Source organism: Homo sapiens, chromosome 12 (assembly GCF_000001405.40).
Source record: "Homo sapiens chromosome 12, GRCh38.p14 Primary Assembly".
Lineage (NCBI taxonomy): Eukaryota > Metazoa > Chordata > Mammalia > Primates > Hominidae > Homo > Homo sapiens.
The window spans coordinates 99526133-99550771 of NC_000012.12; the positions used below are offsets into that span (position 1 = coordinate 99526133).

The window sequence follows — 24639 nt, forward strand, 5'->3', positions numbered from 1 at the left end:
GTAGATAATACACAGTGTTAGTGAGGGTTTGAAAAAAATGGGCACTTTATATAAAAGTTAAAAGACTAACCATCTGTTAGTCAAAGTGTGAATTGATGTAAACCTCTTTCTGGCTAATTTGTCATTTGTTACAGGAGATCGTTAGAAAGCAGATCTTTAGACAGCATGGACTTTAGAACTTTTGCCATGTTAAAATTTTTCCCTCACCTCGGAACAGGTGGGATTGATAAACTACCATTACTATTTCTAAAACATGGTACTGTAAAGCACCATTTACAGGCATTGCATAATTATTACTCTATCTAAAAAATGCTAAATGCTGGATATGCTGTATGTTTCTATTAAATAATAAAATGGGAGTGTGGGTGGAGGGAAGCCTGCCTCTTGGTGTCATGCATGAGAAAAACTAATCAGATCTCACCAATATCAATCGTCTGAGCTGTGAATGGGTGTCGGGATAGCATCCCTCTTTAGAAGTTACTGATGAAACCCCATGAAGCTTGATTCTTAGATAAGCCTTGCTTGGTCAGCCACTTCAAAATTGGAGGTACCAATTTAACATTTGAAAACAAAAAATCTCAACAACAAAGTTCTGAGAAACCAGTGTGGGTACTACCTAAGAATGTTACTTTGGGTATGATATGGGTTAAACTATGTCCTCCCAAAATTCACGTGTCAAAGTCCTAACCCCAGTACATAAGAATGTGACATTATTTAGAAATAGGGTCACTGCAGATGCAATTAGTTAAATGGAGATGAGGTTATTAGGGTGGACCCCAATCCAATGACAAGTGTCGTTATAAAAAGAAGAAATCTGGAGACAGACTTGTACACAGGTATAACATCATATGAAGATTGGAGTTATGCTGCCACAAGCCAAGAAATGCTAAACATTGTCAGAAAACCAACAGGAATGGAACAAATTCTCTCTCACAGACCTCAGAAGGAACCAGTCCTGCTGACACCTTAATTTTGAACTTCTAGCCTTTAGAACTGTGAGACAATAAATTTCTGTTAAGGTATGCAGTTTGTAGTACTTTCTTATGGAAACCCTAGCAAGCCAATATAGAGTTAAAAAAAACAGTAAAAGGTACTCGTTGAAAAACTTTTGATTAATCTCTTAGCATTTTAACATATTTACTCCTTGGGAAAAAAATAACAATTAGGGACTATCAAAAAAGGGGATTATCTTTCTTCTTGATAAAATTCCCAAAAGTGTAATAGGTATCAAAATTTTAAAATCACGTACCCTTTAATAAAATAAATAAGTATTGTTGCTGTAAACAGGCAATATAGTACAATATAGAGGTCTACAGACTTTAGACTGCACAAAGTCCACCTGGATCACTTGTTAGTAATCCGGATTTGTGGCTCTCCCCGGAATTCTTACTAAATCGGAATCTCTGGTGGTAGCCATGGAGAGTTATATCTTACAATTATCCCAGGTCATGTTGATGCAAATTGTTGGTGAAATATACTTGGAAAATACAGGAAGAGTAGTTCAAGAGCATGAGCCCTTTAACTGGAGTCAGAATCCCAACTCTGCCTTTTTTAACAAAGTTGCCTTGGCAAAGTCTTACAGTTTCCTCATCTGCAAAATTAGAATAGTAATAGTATCTGCTTCAAGGTTTTGTTGGTAGTTGTGAATGAAATAATAAAATCAATAAATAACTTTGATTAAAATGTATCAAACCACCAATGACATTCTTAACATAATGAGAAAAAAACTATTTTAAAATTCATATGGGACCAAAAAAAAAAAAATGGCCCAAATAGCCAAGGCAATTCTAAGCATAAAGAACAAAGTTGGAAGCATCACATTACCTGACTTCAAGCTATATACTACAAGGCTACAGTAACCAAAACAGCATGGTACTGGTGCTACAGTAGACACATAGACAAGCAGAACAGAGTAGAGAGCTCAGAAATAAAGCCACATGTCTACAACCATTTGATCTTCGCCAAACCTGACAAAAACAAGCAACGGGAAAAGTACTCCCTATTCAATAAATGGTGCTGGGATAACTGGCTAGCCATATGCAGAAAATTGAAACTGGACCCCTTCCTTACACCATATACAAAAAATCAACTCAAGAAGGATTAAAGACTTAAATATAAAACCTAAATCCATAAAAACCCTGGAAGAAAACCTAGGAAATACCACTCTGGACATAGAACTAGACAAAGATTTCCTGATGAAGATGCCAAAAACAATTGCAACAAAACCAAAAATTGACAAACGGGACCTAATTAAACTAAAGAGCTTCTGCACAGCCAAAAAACAGAACAAAAACAAAAACAAAAAAAAAAACAAAAAAAAAACCATCAACAGAGTAAACAGACAACCTACAGAATGGGAGAAAATATTTGCAAAGTATGCATCTGACAAAGGTCTAATCCCAAATCTATAAAAAACTTTTAAAAAATTACAAGCAAAAAAACCAAACAACCCCATTAAAAATGAGGAACATAACATGAATAAAATGATTCATTTCAAAAAGATGATTCATTTCATAAAGCACTTAGTCTAGTGTCTAAAAGCCTAAGTGATCAATCAATGTAGCCATTATTACTACTCAGTAATTTTTAAAATGAGATAAATGTGCAAGTACTGATATGTTAAGCTAAAACAATAAACAAAGGGAAGAATAATATGTGATGTATGTTCATATCTGTGTGAAAAAAGTATGCACTCAAATTATATATTCCTGGAATATTTCTAGAAGATATTATTAGAAACATTTGGTGTTTAACACTGGGAAATGAGATCATATTCTCTTTTGCTTTGCTTGATTTAAAAAAATTATATGTACATGTGATTTTCAGGGAAAAAATATAGTTTGTGAATCTACCACCTGAGGAAAGAGATGATACCATTTCAAATACAAATGAGCTTTGATTTTTATTTCTGGCACTACTGTGTAGAAATTTGCATACCCCAGGTGAAATTGGAAATGGTGAAATCCCAAGAATAATCTCTGTAATGAATCATACAAATGCAACTGAAAACATGCCAAATGTCAGGTAAAACTAAATAGGAACCACCTTTGTACAAATCCTCAAAAAAAGACCTAGATGATCTAGATCAGAAGTCAACAAGAAGTCAAAAGAAGTGGAATGTAGTTCACCAATAAGAAGATGACAAAGAGGAGAATGTTCACCTAGACTCGAACCCTTGAACCATTTATCTTTCTCTTGTTCTATCATGCTTACTGTTTCTGTAAAGAAGCCATCAACAAGTTGGGCGTATTAGCTCACACCTGTAATCCCAGCACTTTGGGAGGCTGAGATGGGCCGATCAGCTGAGGTCTGGAGTTCAAGACCAGCCTGGCCAACATGGTGAAATGCTGTCTCTACTAAAAATACAAAAATGAGCAGGGCATGGTGGCGTGTGCCTGTAATACCAGCTACTTGGGAGGCTGAGGGAGGAGAATCACTTGAACCTGGGAGGCAGAGGTTGCAGTGAGCAAAGATTGCACCACTGCACACCAGCCTGGTGACACAGCAAGACTCTGTTTCCAGGAAAAAAATAAAAGAAGAAGTAGTCATCAACTTCTGTAAGCTTTTCACTTCCTAATTACCCTTAAATCCACACTATTTTTCTACGTCCATAATCACTAAGCTAGTTCAAGCTTCATCAGCTCATACCTATGTTACATATTTAAATAATCTCCAAACTCCCATCTAATTTAGCTCCATTTTAACCAGGAGTTCCCATCATTCTGAATACTAAAACATTTTTTTCGAAGTAAAAATTTTTACAGATTCTCTAAGTGATAATATTAGGATTAATTTAGGAATGTAGACAGTATAATAAATGACTTTCTTATTTACTCTCTAAATTATAGATAAGAGTCCAGGGTTCAAGAAACCAACCAGAGATTTTAAACATTTAGGCTTTGCAGGCCACATGGTCTCTGTTGTAACTACTCAGTATTGGTGTTGTAGCACAGAAGCAGCCACGTACAATATGTAAATAGAAAAGCTTGTCCAGATTTGGCCTGCAGTGAGTCAGAACTGTCCTAGTGACCACAGATTGCCAGACTGTGGCAAAGAGGTCATGCAAAAGAGTTTAAAACATCAGTAAGGCTAGTGATGAAGCAGATACTGGTTTAGGCCCTTGGCAGTGTAGGCTTCCTACTCCTACACTCTAGAACTACATAGACTGGCATCAGGTCTCCCAAGCGAGTTCTTTATTGCTAGGCTTACCTTACATACTTTCTGCAGGTGAGAAGATCACAAAGAGAATAAGTGACACAAGCTCAGTTTCTGCTCCCAAGTTTAGGAGTCAGTTAACTTCCCTGAGAAAAGAACAGGAACAGAGAGAAGCCCAGTCACACTTATCCATAACTCTCCACGTGAAAATACAAAGTCAGGGGAAAGAATCTCACTTTCCTTGCCCAACTGCAACAGGTAAGTTGTACCACTGTATTAAAAAAATCAGCAAAAAGCAAAAGTGATTTTCCATTTTTATTAATCACAACAAAACTTATGCAAATTTTAAAATAATAAATATGGACATGGATATGTAAAACCTACCATTTATTTAATCTACAGACAGAGGTTAGTATCTGTATGGATTTTCAAGCCCTTTTCAGCAACCCCATAGTGGCCCACTTGAGATCCACAGCTTCATACCACTTCTAAAAGGTAGGGACTATTATAACCCTCACAGTATAGTACTGTCAGAGGACAATCATGATCATCCAATAAATATTTGTTGAATAAAAATATGAATTTTATACTAATTTATTCTTTAAAGCTTTCAAAGCCTCTCCAAGGATACCTTTTAATACAAACCCTCTCTTCCCATATGCCTGATATACTCAGTAGCCTCCATCCTGAATGACATATTCCTGCCTCTGTCTTCTTGCTTATGTTCTCCTTATTCCCTCTGAGTAGCAGGGCCCTCCCAGGCCTATAGAAATTCTCCCTTTCCTTCATAGGCAATCATAAATTCTACTTAGTCCAGTAAGAATTTTGTGGCTACACTTGACTACATAGCTTGCTTTCTTCTCTGAACCTAAAAACAACAGTAATATTCTGTTTGATATTAAATCAGTATCTCATGACACATTAGCTTTTCAGGACTGCATTTATAATCAATATTTTTATTGTTAGCTACTTTTGTTGTTGTTGTAGTATACATTTTTATTTTTACTTTTTATTTCAATAGCTTTAGGAATACAAGTGTTTTTTGGTTACATGGATAAATTATAGGAACCTCCCAACTCTCCCCCCTTCTGAGTCTCCAGTGTCAACTACACCACACAGTACACCTTTGTGTACCTATAACTTAGCTTCCAATTATAAGTAGGAATATGTGGTATTTGGTTTTCTATTTCCAAGTTACTTCACTTAGGATAATGGCTTCCAGTTCCATACAAGGTGCTGCAAAAGACATAATTTCATTCTTTCTTATGGCTGAGTAGCATTCCATGGTATATATACCACATTTTCTTTATCCGGTCATCAGTTGATGGGCACTGAGATTGATTCCGTATCTTTGCAATTGTGAATTGTGTTGCAATTAACATATGAGTACAATTGTCTTTCTAATAACTTCCTTTTCTTTGAGGAAATACCCAGTAGTTGGATTGTTCAATAGATGGTAGATGTGCTTTTAGTTCTCTGAAAAGTTGCCACACTGTTTTCCATAGAGGTTTTACTAATTCACATTCCCACCAACAGTTTATAAGCATTCTCTTTTCTCCGCATCTGAACCAACATCTATTGTTTTTTGACTTTTTGAAAATGGCCATTCTGACTAGGGTGATCTTGTAGCTCACTGTGGTTTTAATTTGCATTTCTCTGATGATTAGTGATATCGAGCATGTGTTTGTTGGCCATTTGTATGTCTTCTTTTGAAAAATATCTGTTCATATTGCTTGTCTACTTTGTAACGGGATTGTTTTTTTTTTTCTTGCTGATTTGTTTGAGTTCCTTATAGATTCTGCATATTAGTGCTTTGTCAGATATACAGTTTGTGGATATTTTCTCCCATTCTGTAGGTTGTCTGTTTACTTTGTGGATTATTTCTTTTGCAGTGCAGAAGCTTTTTCATTTAATTCAATCACATTTATTTTTGTTTTGTTGGATTTGCTTTTGGGGTCTGTGCCCTAAATTATTTGCCGAAGGCAATATCCAGAAGAGTTTTCCTAAGTTTTCTTCTACAATTTTTATGGTTTCAGGTCTTACATTTAAGGTTTTTTTGTTGTTGTTGTTGTTTGCTTGTTTGTTTGTTTTTGAGACGGAGTCTCGCTCTGTCGCCAGGCTGGAGTGCAGTGGCCCGATCTCGGCTCCCTGCAAGCTCCGCCTCCCAGGTTCACGCCATTCTCCTGCCTCAGCCTCCCGAATAGCTGGGACTACAGGCGCCTGCCACCCAACCTGGCTAATTTTTTGCATTTTTAGTACAGACGGGGTTTCATCGTGTTAGCCAGGATGGTCTCAATCTCCTGACCTCGTGAGCCACCCACCTCGGCCTCCCAAAGTGCTGGGATTACAGGCGTGAGCCACCACGCCTGGTCACATTTAAGTTTTTAATTAATCTTGAGTTAATTTTTATACATGGTGAGAGATAGGAATCCAGTTTTCATTCTTCTATACGTGGCTATTCCATTTTCTCAGCACCATTTATTAAATAGGATGTCCTTTCCCCAGTGCATGTTTTTGTCTGCTTAGTCAAAGATCAGTTGGTTGTAGGTATTTTGCTTTGTTTCTGGGTTCTCAATTCTGTTACATTTGTCTCTGTGCCTATTTTATACCAGTACCATGTTATTTTGGTTACTATTATAGCCCTGTAGTATAACATGAAGTCAGGTCATGTGATGCATCTAGATTTGTTCTTTTTCCTTAGGACTGCTTTTGCTAGTTAGGCTTTTTTGGTTGGTTCCTTGTGAATTTTTGGATTGTTTCTTCTAATTCTGTGAAGAATGACATTGGTATTTTGATAGGAATTGTATTGAATCTGTAGATTGCTTTGAGCAGTATGGTCATTTTCACAATATTGATTCTTCCAATCCATAAGAATAGGATGTTTTTCCATTTGTTTGTGTCATCTATGACTTCTTTCATTGGTGTTTTGTAGTTCTCCTTGGAGAGACCTTTCACATCCTTGGTTAAGTGTATTAGGTATTTTATTAATATTATATTATTTTGCAGCTATTGTAAATGGGATTGAGTTCTTCATTTCATTTTCAGCTTGGTCATTGTTGGTGTATAGCAGTGCTACTGATTAGTGTTTATGTTGATTTTGTAATCTGAGACTTTAGTGAATTCATCTATCAGATCTAGGAGTCTTTTGGAGGAGTCTTTGGGGTTTTCAAGGTATAAGATCATATCATCAGCAAAAGAAGATAGTTTGGCTTCCTCTTTTCCAATTTGGATGTTCTTTCTTTCTCTTGCCTGATTGCTCTGGCTAAGACTTCCAGTACTGTGCTGAATAGAAGTGATGAAAGTGGGCATCCTTGTCTTGTTCCAGCCTTCAGGGAGAATGCTTTCAACTTTTCCCCATTCAGTATGATGTTGGCTGTGGGTTTATCATATATGGCTCTTATCATTTTGAGGTATTTTAGCTACTTTTTAGATTCTACCCTCCCAGTGAGCTAGTGCTCCATTTGGTGTTTCATTTGTGTGTGTGTGCACGCTTCTATTTTATGCTTCACAGAAATCCATACAATTCCTACACAGAGTAGACTTTCAAAATATTGAATTATTTATGTTAAATGACTCAATTAATTAACAAAAGAATGGATAAATAAATAACATAAATGACCAATATTAATAAAAATTAAGTCTTAAAAATATGGAGAAAAACTTGAATGGCCTCCCAAAACCTTCCAATCCCTGTGCTATTTTAACAGAAACATTAATTATTTTTAAAAAACCCTCTTTGTAGTCATTTACTTCACAGAGACAAGAAATATGGTAACATAAAGGTAAATAATATAAATCTGTGACTTGAATCCTTGAAAAATCTGGAACAACAAAAATATTGACAAATAATATCATTGTTTAAAATACTGAAGAAGAATATATTGCAATGACAATATGAAAATATGTTTTGGTATCTCCAGTCTCAGTCTTGTTAGAAGTATGTTCAGAAGTGAACAACTGAATGAGAAGTGAAGTGCTCATAGGGGAAGGATAAGTCCAGAAATCTGAATTTAGTCCCACATAGCAATGAATGTTTCTCAATTATACAAATTACAGTCACCACTTCAGTGATAATCATGTCATTTGCCATTTATTGTTTTCACTCATCAAGGGATAAAGAAAAATAAAAGATGAAAGTTACTTGAAAAATAATGATGAATCCATATGCTGAGAGAAAAGCATTGTGTTCTAAATGACAACCAACACCTGAACCCAGGACTCACTTATTTGGTTAATTAATATACATTCGAGGCTGTGAAATTGTCATTTCTACACATAATAATTAAACACCATTAATGGAAACACCTAAAATAACTACATTTGCTTTCTCAGAGAATTACACATTAGGAAAGTAAGTTAATGTGATAAACATTTTACAATATATTTAGACTTTTAGGAAACTTTTTTTTTCTTTTTTCTTTTCTTTTTTTTTTTTTTTTTGAGATGGAGTCTCACTCTCTCACCCAGGCTGGGGTGCAGTGGCATTATTTCGGCTCACTGCAAGCTCCACCTCCCGGGTTTACCCCATTCTCCTGCCTCAGCCTCCCGAGTAGCTGGGACTACAGGCACCTGCCACCACACCCGGCTGATTTTTTCTATTTTTAGTAGAGACGGGGTTTCACCATGTTAGCCAGGATGGTCTCGATCTCCTGACCTCGTGATCTGACCACCTCGGCCTCCCAAAGTGCTGGGATTACAGGCATGAGCCACCGCGCCCGGCCCTTTTTAAAAAATTAACGTGATTTAGGAGGCCACTTGAAGATATTCAGCTTTTGATGGCATAAAATTCTGGCTTTAATAACCAACCACTAGTTATTTAATATGATTGTGTACCTGCAAAAAGCTTAAGAAACTTTTAGCTAAATGAAGGAATTCTTTAAGAAGACAAAATAAGAATTAGTCACATATCTGCTTTTCCACTATTCTTGTTACCATTACTCTACCAGCATCCCTGCAAAGCAGATCAGCAATATTTGTGTGTTTTGAAACTCCTCTGGTTTCCTGGCTTCTAAGATCCAGTCCATCACCAAGTCCCATGATTGGTCCACTCTTGTTGTCCCACGTCCATGTTAAACTAGGTTTCAGCATCACACATGCAGATTAATGTCACTGTCTCTGAACTCATCTCCCTTCTTGGACAGCTTCACTTCATCCTATATACCACCATTAGAAGAATCTTTGAACACAATTATTCTCAAATTATTCCTAGCCCAAAAACTCAAATACTTTCTAAATAAATTTTATTCAAATCAAAACTCTCTAGCATAGCGCTGTATATCCCAACATGCCAATTTCACCTTCTTTATTTCATTTTCCATTCAACTGTATGCCAAGGCTCTACTTTGAGCTCATCTGCTTGTTAGATCAGCTTAACACTGAATTTGAACATGCCTTACCTCACAATTCTACTTCTTCAAGTTCTTCACCTATTTTAAAAGCCAGTGAAGAAGCACTTACAGAGGTAGAATAAGAATCTCCAGAACTCCACTCCTTCATAAAAGGCACAGGAACACTCAAAAAGTTGTCAAAATAAACTTTAGCACTTAACCAAAGGTTTGCAATAATCCATCAAGGATTTATTCAAGAAAATCATCAGAATTTTTGTGAAAACAGTTAACATTGTGTATTTAAATTTGCTCTAATCCCATTTCCATCTCCCCAGCTCCACAACAGTCTCACAATCACTCTTAAAACCAACATATACTAGAGGGCGTTAAATGGGTTTGGAGCTCTACAAACTGTCTTGCACTCACAGAGAATTCATATTTGATGTATGCAGCAGCTCCCTGGAAAAGCTCCATTTATAGGACATGTCTTTATTTGACCTGATACAGAACTCACTCAGTGGGAAAGGCTCTGTTCTTAAGATGTTAGTCAAAATCAATCCTGACCCATAGAATGTACATCAAGAATGAACCCTAATGCAAACTATGAACTGAGGGTGATGATGATGTGTCAATGTAGGTTCATCAATTGTAACAAATGTAGCACTCTGGTGGGGATGTTGATAATGGGGGAAGCTACACATATGTATGGGGGCAAGGGAGATATGGGAAATCTCTGTACTTTCCTCTTAATTTTGCTATGAACCTAAAACTGCTCTAAAAAATTAGTCTTTATTATAAACAAAACTATGTATTTTTCTACAATCAAATTTCTTCACAGCTATATGTTCTTAGCTCCTTTCATGCTTTTATGTGTTTGTATACCTTTTGTGTTCCAGTGGTTGGGAATAGTTTTGTGAAAATAAAAAATATTTCCATAAAGAAAAAAAGCTAGAAAAGTTGTTGCTATTAGACCTACTCTATAAGAAATATGAAATTTTTATTTTAATTTAAATTTTGTGTAGGTACACAGTAGGTGTATGTATTTATAGGGTACATGGGATGTTTTGATACAGGCATGCAATATGAAATAAGCACATTATGAAGAACGGGGTATCCAATCCCTCAAGCATTTACCCATTGAGTTTCAAACACTCCAATCACACTCTTTATTTTTAAATGTAGAGTTAAGTTATAATTTATTATAGTCACCCTGTTGTGCTATCAAATAGGTCTTACTCATTTTTTCTAAGTACTTTTGTACCCATTAACCCTCCCCACCTTAACCACAAACCCCACACTACCATTCCCAGCCTCTGGTAACCATCCTCCAACTCTCTATCTCCATGAGTTTGTTTTGCTTTTTAGATCCCACAAATAAACAAAAACATTTGAAGTTTGTCTTTCTGTGCCTGGCCAATTTCACTTAACATAAAGATCTCCAGTTCCATCCATGTTGTTGCAAATGACTTGTCTAGATCTCATTATTTTTATGGCTGGATAGTACTCCATTGCGTATAAGTACCACATTTTCTTTATCCATTCATCTGTTGATGGACGCTTTGGTTGCTTCCAAATCTTAGCTATTGTAAACAGTGCTACAATAAACATAGGAGTGCAGATATCTCTTCAACATACTGATTTCCTTTTCTTTGGGTATATATCCAGCAGTGGGATCGCTGGACCATATGGTAGTTCTATTTTTAGTTTTTTGAGGAACCTCCATATTATCCTCCATAATGGTTGTACTAATTTACATTCCCACTAACAGTGTATAAGGTTTTCCTTTTTCTCTACATCCTCACCAGCACTTGTTATTGCCTGTCTTCTGAATTAAGCCATTTTAACTGGGTAAGATGATAGCTCATTGCAGTTTTCATTTATATTTCTCCAATGATCAATGATGTTGAACACCTTTTCATACGCCTGTTTTCCAGTTGTGTATGTCTTCTTGTGAGAAATGTATATTCAAATCTTTTGCTCATCTTTTGGCAAAGTTATTTTCCTATAGAGTTGTTCGCACACTCTATATATTCTGGTTATTAATCCCTTGTCAAATGAGTAGTTTGCAAATATTTTCTTCCATTCTGTGGGTTGTCCTTTCACTTTATTGATTGTATCCTCTGCTGTGCAGAAGCTTTTTAACTTGATGTAATCCCATTTTTCCATTTTTGCTGTGGTTGTCTGTGCTTATGGTATATTGCTCAAGAAATTTTTGCCCAGACCAATGTCCTGGAGAATTTCCCCAAAGTTTTCTTATAGTAGTTTCATGGTTTGAGGGATTTGATTTAAGTCTTAATTCATTTTTATTTGATTTTTGTAATTAATGACAAATAGGGGTCTTGTTTCATTATTCTGCATATAGATATCCAGTTTTCCCAGTACCATTTATTGAAGAGACTGTCTTTTCCCCAGTGTATGTTCTTGGCACTTTTGTCAAAAATGAGTTCACTCTAGGTGTGTTTATTTGTTTCTGTGTTCTCTATTCTTTTCCATTGGTCTATGTATATATTTTTATGACAGTGTCATACTGTTTTGGTTATTGTAGCTTTGTAGTATAATTTGAAGTCAGGTAATGTGATTCCTCCAGTTTTGTTCTTTTTGCTTAGGATAGCTTTGGCTATTCTGGTTTTTTTGTGGTTCCATATACATTTTTGGATTATCTTTTCCTATTTCTGTGAAGAATGTTATTGGTATTTTGATAGGGATTTCATTGAATCTGTACATTTCTTTGGGTAGTACAAACATTTTAATAATATTGAGTCTTCCAATCCATGAACACGGAATGTCTTTCCATTTTTCTGTGTCCTCTTCAATTTCTGTGTCAATGGTTTATAGTTTTCATCATAGAGATCATTCACTTCTTTTCTTAATTCATTTGTTTTTAATCTTATGTGTGGCTATTGTAAATGGGATATTTTTATTTCTTTGTCACATTGTTCACTATTGGCACACAGAAATGCTACTGATTTTTGTATGTTAATTTTGTATCCTGCTACTTTACCAAATTTACTAGTTCTAATAGTTTTCTTGTGGAGCCTTTAGGTTTTTCTAAAATCATATCACCTGCAAACAAGGATAATTTGACTTACACCTTTCCAATATGGAGGCCCTTTATATCTTTCTGTTGTCTGATTGCTCTTGCTAGGACTTCCAGTACTACGTTGAATAATAGTGGTGACAGTGGGCATCCTTGTCATGTTCCAGATTTTAGAGAAAAGGCTTTCAGTTTTTCTCCATTCAATGTGCTACTAGCTATGGGTCTTTCATATATGGCTTTAATTATGTTGAGGTATGTTCCTTCTATTCTCAGTTTTTGAGGGTATTTTATCACGAAGAGATGTTGAATTTTATCAAATGCTTTTTCAGCATCAATCGAAATGGTCATATGGTTTTTATCCTTCATTCTGTTGATATGATATATCACATTGATTTGTGTACGTTGAATCATCCTTGCATCCCAGGGATAAATTTCACTTGATCATGATGAATGATAGAAATACTAAATTATTAAAGGGAGGCTTTCTGGCTGAAAAGACAGTAAACAGTAATGCAAATTCACACTAAAAAACGTAAAAAGTGTGGGTAAAGGTAAATATAAGATAGTATAAATGTACTTTTATTTATACTCTTTTCACCACCCTTATGCCTTAAAAAATCAACTGCATAAAGCAATAATTACAAATCTCTGTTGATGTGCTTATATGAAGATGTAATTTGTACAAAAGCAACAATACAAATAAGGGAGGAGGAAATATTGGGGCAAAGTTTTTTTGTATATTATTGAAACAAACTGTTGATATTAATTCAAAATAGATTATTTTAAGTTAAAAAATCAATTATAACCTCTAGAATACCAACTAAAAAATAACTCTTAAAAATATGTATGAAAAACATAAAGGAAATTAAAAGAATAAACTAGAAAATATCTATTTAATACAAAGGAAGGCAGTAATGGAGGTATAGAGGGACAATAATGATATAAGAAATATTAGAAACAAATAGCAAGATGGCAGGCATAAATACTACCTTATCAACAATTACATTAAATGTAAGTAGATTCAACACTCCAAACAAAGAGATGAGCAGAATGGACTCTTCTGTTTTTGTTTGTTTTAGGTTTTGCTTTTTTGTTTTCTTATAGACAGGGCCTTGCTGTGTTGCCCAGGCTGGTTTCAAATTCCTGGCCTCAAGGGATCCTTCTGCCTCACTCTGCCTGCCACAAAATGCTGAGATTACAGACAAGCCACTGAGCCAAGCCAGATAAATTTTGTTCAAAAAATGATCCACATGTTGTCCATAAAAGATACACTTAATATTCAAAGACATTAATAGGTTGAAAGTAAAAATATGAAAAAAAGATACATCATGCAAATAACAACCAAAAGATAACTTCAGTGACTATACTAATATTGAACAAATAGACTTTGAGACAAAACTTGTCACTAGAGACAAAAAAAAAGACATTTTATAAAGATAAAACAGTCAGTCAGGAAGACACAACAAGCATAAACATATATACACCTAAAAATAGGGCCTCCAAAACATGAAACAAAAAGTAACAGAATTGAAGGGAGAAATAGACAATTAAAAAATAATAGTTGGAGACTTCAATATCACATTTTCAATAATGAATAGAACAATTAGGCAGAACATCAACCAGCAAACAGAAGACTTAAATAATACCATAAGCCAAGTAGACCTAACAGACATCTATAGACTACTCTACCAAACAACAGCAGAATGTGCGTTCTTCTTAAGTACACGTGAAACATCCTGCAGAATAGACCATGCAATATGAGACTTGCCATAAACAAGTCTCAATACATTTTAAATGTTTTATGTCATACAAGGTATGTTCTCTGACCATAATAGAAAAAAATTAGAAAACAATAAAAATGAAAATTGAGAAATTCATGAATATGTGGAAATAGTCAACATGCTCCTTAATTAGCAATGTGCCAAAGAAGAATTCTGAAGGGATATTAAAAATAATTTCAAATGAATGAAGACAAAAACACAACATACCAAAGCTTATGGAATGCCGCAGTGCTTAGAGAGAAATTTATAGCTGTAAGCCTATTTTTAAAAAGACATAAGTCAATTATAACCTTTAGTATTAAGAAACTAGAAAGAAATATAAATTGAAAGCAAGCAGAAAAGAGGAAATAATAAGAGCAAAAATAAATGCAAATAAAGAATAGAAAAACAATAAAGAAATTCAAAGAAATGTAAGTTGGTTCTTTGAAAAAAAATACAATTGACAAAATTTCAGGTAGACTGAACAAAAAAAAAGAGAGAGAAGACTCAAATTACTAAAATCAGGAATGAAAGAGAAGCTATCACTACCAACTTTACAGAAATAAAAAAGTTTATAAGGAATACTATGAATAACTCCATGCCAACAAAACAGATAGGCTAGCTGAAATAAACAAAATCCTACCAAAACTGACTTAAGAAAAAATAAAAATATCTGCGTAGACCTATAACAAGTAAGAGATTGAATTTGTAATTTCAAAACTTTCCATATATTACGGCCAGGCTCAGATGGCTTCAAAGGTGAATTAAACCAAACATTTAAAGAAGACAATAACAATCCCTCACAAATGCTTCTTTAAAAAAAACAAACAAACAAAAAACACAAAAAAGGAAACACTTTCAAATTCATTTTAGGAATCTTGTATTACACTAATATCAAAACCATATAAACACATCACAAGAAAAGTAGACATCAACATCCCTTATAAATGTAGACACAACAACCTTCCACAAAATGCTGGCAAACTAAATGCAACAACATACAAAATAATTATATATCATGACCAAGTGCCTCAGGAATACTTGGCTGGTTCAATATATGAAAAATCAACCAATATCATACACTATATTAATAGAATAAAGGACAAAATCCACAAAATCATCTCAACAGACACAGAGAGTGCATTTGACAAAATGTAACATGCTTCTGGTCGGGCATGGTGGCTCACATCTATAATCCCAGCACTTTGGGAGGTGAGTGAATCACCTGAGGTCAGGAGCTCGAGACCAGCCTGGCCAACATGGTGAAACCCCATCTCTACTAAAAATACAAAAATTATCTGGGTGTGGTGGCAGACACCTGTAATCACAGCTACTTGGGAGGCTGAGGCAGAAGAACCACTTGAACCTGCGGAGCGGAGGTTGCAGTGAGCCGAGATCATGCCACTGCACTCCAGCCTGGCAACAGAGCGAGACTCCGTCTAAAAAAAAAAAAGAGTAACATGCTTCCATGATAAAAGCACTCAACAAACTAGAAAGAATGAGAATTCTCTAAATCTGATAAAGGCGTCTATGAAAAACCTACAGCTAAGATTCTATTTAATGGTGAAAAACTGAATATTTCCCCCTAAGATCAGAAACAAGAAATGGATGTCACTCACTATTTCCATTCAACATTGTACTGAAGGTTCTAGTCAGGGCAATAGATAGGAAAAACAAACAGCATCCAGATTGGAAAGAAAGAAGTAAAACTATCTTAATTTGTAGATGACATGAACTTACATATGTAGAACAATCCTAAAGAAGCCACAAACTTTATTTGAAATAATGGACAAGTTCAGCAAGTTTGCAGATACAAGGACAATACTAAAAAAACCAATTGTATTTCTATATGGTAGTAATGGGAAATGCAAAATTAAATTTAAATAAAATTTCATTTACAATAGAATAAAATAAATTACTTAGACATGAACTTCACAAAAAAAATCTAAGATTTGTACACTAAAAATTTAAAAACATAGTTGAAATAAATTAAAGAAGGCATAAATAAGTGGTAAGACATTGCATGGTCATGGGTTAGAAGACACAATATTTTTTAAATGGCAATAATCTCCACCAAATTGATCAACAGGTTCATCAAAATCCCTATAAAAAAAATCCGTGGTGCTTTTTTTCACAGAAATTGAAAAGCTGGTTCTAACATTTATTTATATGGAAACAGAAGGAACTCAGAATAGCCAAAAAATTTTGAAAACTTTGAACAAAGTGGGAGGAGTCACTCTTCCCAATTTCAAAGACTACTAAAAAGCTACAATAATAAAGACAGTGTGGTACAGCATAAGAATAGTCATATAGATCAATAGAAAAAATAGTTTTTTCAACAAATGGTGCTGGGATAACTGGATATCTATCCACATGCAAAAGAATGAAGTTGAATACCTACCTCATATAATGTACAAAAATGAACTCAAAATGAATCAAACGCCTAAACGAAAGGGTAAACTCTACAAAACTCTTGGGGAAGAAGTATAGATAAATCTTCATGACCTTGGATAGGGTAATGGTTTCTTAGATATAACACCAAAATAACAAGTAACAAAAGAAATAAATAAACTGAATTTTGTCAAAATTTAAAACTTTTATGCTTCAAAGGACATCAAGAAAGTAAAAAGACATTCACAGACTAGGAGAACGTATTTAAAAATCATATATTTGATATGGGACTTGTATTCAGACCATATGAAGAACTCATAATTAACAATAAAAAGACAAATTATCCAATTTAAAAGTGGGCAAAGGAATAAGTATTTCTCTAAAGAAGATCTACAAATGGCCAATAAGCACATAAAAATACTAAACATCATTAGTCATTAGAGAAATGCAAATCAAAACCACAATAAGAAACCACTTCTCACCACTAAGGTGATTAAAATAAAAAAGACTAACAATAGCAAAAGTTGGCAAGGATATGGAAAAATTGGAACCTTCATACATTGCTGGTGGTATTGTAAAATAGTGTAACCACTTTGGAAAATAGTTCGGCAGTTCCTTAAACTGTTAAATATAGAGTTACCATATGACTCCAATATTCTACCTCTAGTTATATATAACAAAGAAATTTGAAAACAAATGTTCATACAAAAACTTGCACATAAATGCTCATAGCAGCATTGCTCAAAATAGTCAAAAAGGGTGAACAACCCAAATGCCTACCAATTGATGAATGGAGAAACACAGAATTGAATATTATTTTGTAATAAAAAGGAATGAAGTACTGATATATTTTACTATATGGATAAATTTTGAAAACATTATGCTGTGATACATTCTACAACATAAATAAACTTTAAAAACATTATGCTAAGTGAGAAAAAAACAGATAGAAAAGGCCACATATTACACGATTTCATTTATATGGCATATGCAGAATAGACAAATTGATAAAGGTGTATGCCAACTTAGTGGTAGAAAAAAGGAAGGCCAATATGGGACACCGAAGCTAATAAGACATGAGTAGGATTAAATTTTCAGTCTAGTAACACATGAGGAATGCCTGTGGCAAAGCAAGACCAAGATAAATGACATAAGAAGACAAATAAAATTGCAACTTCACTGGGAATGAGATATGGTAGTTGAATTTGAAGATTCTGCCACTATGTTTCACAAAATATATAGAGAGAAACATATATAAATACATAGACATATGAACCCCTGTGAAATTGTGTGTTGTAAGAAAAAGAAAAATAATAAAATTCTTTAAAAAAAAACTACCTTGTGTTTGGATTGTGCCAACCACCACATGGTAATATCTGAATAAGTCTGGGTAATATGTGAATGAGCATACAGTTTGTTGGCATGAACAAATATTGAAATCAATAAGTTATACCAGTTATGAAGTATTTCAATTCTCACTCCTGATTCTGATATCAGTGACAGTCAATGTAGTAGGTTTTTAAATTCCAATCTGCCTTAGGTGTTCAGATCCATTTTCTGGAGCAGGTTTGAAGTCTGACAGTCCCTACCCGGACTCTGGTTCCTATGCTTTATTATGTGCAGCAAGTCACTGAAACTGCGAGATTTCTTCATGTATAAAATCAGAATGATAATATGTTTCTCAAAAGTTTGTTTCAAGAACGAAACAAAATGTCCTGTGTAAAAGATCTAATACCACTTCCAGAACACAGTATGAGCTTTCTTTTAGGACAGCTTCATTGCCACTGCCTATGAGCTGAACTAAGCATTTCATGACAAGAGACCCTGGAATATAAGGAGTCTACAAACACCTACATTATTTAGTCATTCAGGATGACAGAACAAGTGACAAGAGCAATTGTTCCCAACCTTAGCTGTGCATGTGGAACATCTGTGAAGCTTTTTAAATGCATATAGGTCTGAGACTCACCTCCCAACAACCCTCCAGCACCTGGTCCCATGCTGATAACCTTTCTTCTGTATAAAGTCTTACATAGTTTTCACAAATACTATTTATAAAACCCTCAGTGTTTTCTTCTTCTGGCTAAAAGTGCCTGCTGTTTTAACTCTTCCACTGCAAAACACTGTCTAATTATTGGATTATTCTTAAAACTCATCTGTGAGCCCTGGCTACATTATCTGACTGTCTCTTTGGTTATGTGGCTTCATTTATCATTGGTCGAACTTACTGGAAGTGAAAAGGAAGGTTACCTTAATTGATAGAGCTATTGATATAATTCTAAGATATGATTAATTGCACAGGACATTTTAATTATATGATCCGTTCTTCATGAGACAACAAAAACCAAGGCATTCTAGACACCCATGAGGGAGCTCTATTTCTATGTCTGAAAACGAAATTAGACTTCTTGCTTTTATTTTTCCCTTCCCAAATGACATTTATATAACACACTTAAGTTCTGATGGAGTATGGCAAATGTATTTAACTTTCGACCAATATTTATAGAATCCTTTATTTCATAAGGGATAAAAGCAAGCCCAGAATTTTTCCTGTCTTTTAACTCTTGAAATTGTCCCCTAAGAATATAAACAAACTAAAAGGCGAAGCAAAACATAGACAATATCCCCTTGAATGATTCATAATAACCACATTTAAGCCTCTCTGGGTTTTGTTTGTTTGTTTAGGTCACAGCACTATTGGGAGGCAAAGGGGTTATTGGCTATTGAAGTGTTTGCTGTTGATGAAGAACTAAATTTAAGGCATGTATTCTTTTCTTGACTAGAGTTTGATTAGCTTCGTCATACTTTTGCTTTAGGGAAAGAATGGTATAGAAGAAATAAAAGAACTAACGGAAGCCCTTCCATTTCAATCACTGTAAAGAATTTATCATCATAAGATCAACAAAGCACCATTTCCATGTACCTTTTGCAATATATATATACACACACATATATATATATTTTACACATATATAAATTATATATATATATATATAAAATTATTGCATCGGGGCTTCTTTGTTGCTTTTCTTTTTCCTCAATGACATTGAGACTTTACCTATATCCAATAACATTTGCCTTCCTTTCTATTTTCTTGCATGTTTTAATCTCATAGTGTCACATGGGTTCACTTTACCTAAAGATGGAATATTCTCCTCCGTTGGAGAAGAACCCCAAATTAGGCCAGAAGAATACTGAAAAATGTATGGACTTTGTAGTCAGAACCTGGGAAGAAAAATCCTAACTCTGCCAGATGAAATGGTCCAAGTCAAGTTGAATGGAAGGATTAAAATAGAAGATTAATAAAATGCAGCTGTAGACAGCTGGCACATAGTGACAGTCAATAAGTGACAATTTATAATTCATTCATTTATTCTACCTGCCTGGAGAAGTGAAATCTAAGAGAAATAGACAATAGAAATAAAATACAAATCTATCAAATAAAACAAAGTGAATTAATCAGTAAGCATTCTTGAACACTAATATATATAAGGAAGGGCTAACTTAAGAAAGACATGCTTTTCAAGAGTTTATAAACTGGCTTACCATTTTAAGACATTTTCCATAAAAATTATGCCACATCATATAAATTAGTAAAACTCTATTCCAATCTTAACCTACTTGTACTCTATGTTCTAGTCACTCTAGAAGTCCTAATCACATGCCAAACCATGCCACAAGTTTCCAGGGACACATTTCACATATCTGCTGCTCTCAGTAGAGGGATCAATAATTCTTCCCTACTGGGCTGCAGAGCGAAGAAAATGGGATCTCTGATAAGTACAGGCAATCAATCCATGCTGGTGTCCACTGCAGAATTTAGGAACTCCATGAAATCAGGAGTAAGGGAAGGCTAGACCACCCTCTGAAAACTGAACGTTAAGGGTTCTACTTTATGCATGATAAATACATAGAGCAAAGTGAAAGAAATCAGATGGAGTCTGGTCAGAACGAATGGAAGGGAAAAATAGTTAACTATAACAGGATTGTGAGATGGTCTAGTTCTAGTAAGGGGAAAGGAGCTCAGTAAGGTTGGAGAAGTAGGCATCAATTAGTTCCAGGGTACATGCAGTGTAGCAGGTTGGGATAAACTCCAACAACAAGGAGAACTGATTATTTTAGCAAGAGGAAACAAGACATCTCTGACAGGGGCAGGGGGAGGATGAATAAACAAGAGGATGAGTGTCTGGATTAGGCTGAGATCCCTACAGCAGTGGGACACTGGGTGGACTCTGGGGGGAAATCTGTGGTAAAATTCCCAGTAAGTGTGGCCTTGGGGAGAAAAAGAGAGGGAAATTCCAAGAACAAAGTACTTGGGTTTTGGAGTCAGACCAGGGTTTGCATCTGAGTTTGCCCCTTTACTTTCTAGATCTTAGACTTGAAGCAAGTCACCTAACCAGTAAATAATTTCTTAATCACACAACTTTGTACAATAATGCCTACATCAAAGGACTCTTCTGAGGATTAGGAGATAACATGTGGGAAATGCCTGGTATTGTTCAGATATACTTTGTTTTTATTTTCTTTTATTTTGGTATAAAATATAAGTTCTTACTATAAGAAGTTTATCTTTCTGATCAGGAGAGATGATCCAACCCCTAATTCATAAAAAAGAAACAGGAGGAATATAGGAACTTAAACACCCAGGGGTGTTATGAGGCACCAGCCCTAGAAAGAAGTTGGAGGCTGAAATTTTAGCCCCAACTCTAAAGCAAAGCAATAATATTGTCTGGGAGCTGAATCCACCCAAAGTGAGGTGCCCTTTTCTAATCCTTTCAAAGGCTCTATATGGGATAATGGGTGATCCTGAAAGTGTCTCCCTAGGAGGTAGAATACAAACTACTCAACTGAGTGGCAAAACCTTTCATGTTCAACATATGTAACATTTCAGTCTTAAATGTTTTCTGAATTGAACCGAGCATTATTCAGGAAGTGAAACACTCCCATGTCTTGGGAATACATTGTTCAAATAGTCTAAAACATCAGGTATGTTTTATTTTCTTTTTCACATTATAACTCCCTGAATTATATTCCAAAGGTAGAAGAGTTTATGCTAGATTTTTACAGAGGATGTCTTCATGCAAAATTAAGGGATTGCAGACTACAAAACTGTTGGCAGAAGATTCGGGTTGTTTTTGAGGAATAAATGTATGCCCTTCCCTGATGCTGTCTTATATGGCAATAAACTAAATAAAAATTGTAGTTGATTGACAGTAATTATAAACCTGCAACAGCAATAAAATTTGTGTTAATTATCAAAAATATCAGACCAGTTGTGCTGCCCATTACAGAACAATATTGAATTTTCTGTTAAGGAAATTGGTCCACCTTTCCCTAATTTTTGTTTTGCCTTCCTAAAGGTAAGCCTGAAATATATAATAGCATATCATCAGAATTCATTCCACTGACTCCACTAAATGACTTCCAGAAATTTTGCTATAGGTTGCTAACTAAAGACAGCAGCATCTCCTTGCATGGAATATCAGATTCAAATTTCTTTGCCTGATTCTGGGTGGCTCTCTACCAAATGGCCCTTTCCCTTTTCCTGTTAACTGTTTTGCTTTCTAATCCCCAACAGTTTAGCACATTAGGTGCTCAATAAGTATCTGTGGAAAGAAAGAAGGAAGAAATAGAGAGATGGGCAGGACTATGAATGTTTTTTTAAAGACAATAGAAATCCCCCCACCACCATTCTACAAAATACCTTTTGCATCTGACAAATATAGGTAATGTTATTATTAATAATATATTATTTCAGATATTAACTTCTTTAAAAATGTAAATCTTCTTGGAGAATCAACATTTAGTAATGTAATTTACTCATCCATGCCACACTAAGAAGAAATTTTGAAGCCAGAAAAAGAGAGGGTAGTAGAAATTTGAAAAAGAAAAACAATAAGAAAAGGAGAACTCTGGAAAAGATAGTGCTCTTTGCCTTTGTTTTTGCTAAATATATTCATTCCTTTGATGAACCATTAAAAAATTATTAGCTCCTATATATCTTAGGGATACAGACATTCAGTCATTAGAAGTTGCGAAGATCATCATTCCACAAATATTACTGGGTTCCTGCTATATGCCAGGTGCATAAGTGTAGGGAACAAGATTGCCTACCCAGAATTATGAAACCAAAATAGATAATTACAACTATGATTAATGCAATAATGGAGAACTGCCATGGGGACATAACATATAACAAAAAGGCATACTAGTGGGGAACTGGAGGTGGGGGTGACTAGCAATTTACCTATATCTTTTTTCCAAAATGATCTTCAAACTAGAAATATAAGATCAGTTAACATAAAGAAGAAACCGAAACTCTAGATAGGTCATACAATAGTTAGAGAGCATCAACCCATGTGAACAGTCAAGTCTCCAGTCCAGGTATACTATACCTCAGGGCACTAAAGGAACATACATATTGATTACTGTAAATAACTTCTGTAATTCTTTAGAAATCACAGTAAGCGTGATGGCAGAAGACTGGAGATGGGTAAATCTTTAATCCAATTTTCAAAATAGAAGTTGAGGCAAAAGACTAGGAAGTTTAAGATCAGTCCCTGCCAAAATTCTTAGAGTTAAGCAGATGGTTTTTGAAGTCTTAGTAAATAAACTGGTATTCATGAAAACCAACAGAATTTGCTAAATTAAGTTATGCTAAGATGAATTTATTTTATTCTTCTTCATTCTCTTTCTTCCTTCTTCTCTCCCTCACTCTTTTCTTTCTATCTTTCATAATTTCTGTTATTCAACAAGTGCTTGTCCAACACTTTCATGAATGCTTTACATGGAATGCTTGACAAGCAAGCTGTTAACCAAACCAGTGGTTTGCTTAGTAATAGCAATTAGATATTGCTTAGTAATAGCAATTAGATAAAAACTAATTTGCCTAAGGAACATGCATTCTATAGTCAATGCATGAACTAACCTAGTTCAGTGAATGTAAGATAAAGAAGATCCTGTTAGCCCAACATTTTGTAAACTCCCGCCATTCCACAGACCCTGGTCACAGTGGAAAATTCCACTAAGGCTTGGGCTGTGAAAAACATCCTGCTGGATAAGTCCCAGGCCTAACTGCCTAACTGCAGAAAATTCCTCCCTTTTCAGCAGCTAACCTCACTGTCCACCCCATTTCACAACAAGCCCAGACCCCTCCCGCTCGGACCTATAATTACTCCAGCATGCAAATGGCAGCGGGCTCCAGCGCTAGCTGGTATCCCCTTCTGCAGGTCTTTTGTCCAATAAACCTGTGTTGTTGTTGAGCCAGCAACTCTCTCTCTCTTTTACCCTCGCCTTCCCTTCAAAGCCTAACAGATCCCTAGTGGTTTCATGGTGCTCTCTATCTATCTTGAGTGCTCTCTATCTTGAGTTTCCAGTGTAACATTTCTCTCAGTGTCTTGATAAAGTCCTAAGAATCACAGACATGTTGTTTACATAAAGCATAGAAACATAACTAGCACTTGTGTCAAAATCATAAGGGCTGCTTGCTCAAAATTCAAATTCCTACCTATCCCACAGATATATTTAGTCAAAATTTCCAATCAAGCGCGGTGGCTTAGGCCTGTAATCCCAACACTCTGGGAGGCTGAGGCAGGCAGATCAATTGAGGTCAGGAGTTCAAGACCAGCTTGGCCAACATGGTGAAACTCCGTCTCTACTAAAAATATACAAGTTAGCTGGGCATGGTGGCTGGCACCTGTAATCCCAGGTACTTGGGAGACTGAGGCAGGAGAATCGCTTGAACCCGGGAGGTGGAGGTTGCAGTTAGCCATGTTTGGGCCACTGCACTCCAGCCTGGGTGACAGAGTGAAACTCTATCTCAAAAAAAAAAAAAAATTGAAGTTTGAAGTTATGTAGAAATTTTTATTTTTAACAATCACCACAGTTATTTATTTTGCACACTTAGGTCTAAGAACCCTCACTGAAATGTTTAAGACACATTACCTACCCACAATCACTAACTAACCCC

The 24639-nt window shown here is 35.2% G+C and overlaps 1 protein-coding gene across 22 annotated transcripts in view, besides 1 other annotated feature; it reads right to left on the reverse strand.

Moving 5' to 3' along the window:
* The window catches only part of ANKS1B (ankyrin repeat and sterile alpha motif domain containing 1B), a 1250151-nt gene that overhangs the window by 791347 nt on the left and 434165 nt on the right, over window positions 1-24639 (reverse strand). The gene's annotated exons all lie outside the window — the stretch shown is intronic.
* Window positions 4010-4079: a silencer, noted in NCBI's record as "silent region_4759". NCBI's record gives its function as "represses an Ori minimal core promoter by ATAC-STARR-seq in GM12878 lymphoblastoid cells {active_cell/tissue: GM12878}" and the evidence as "EXISTENCE:reporter gene assay evidence [ECO:0000049][PMID:35858748]".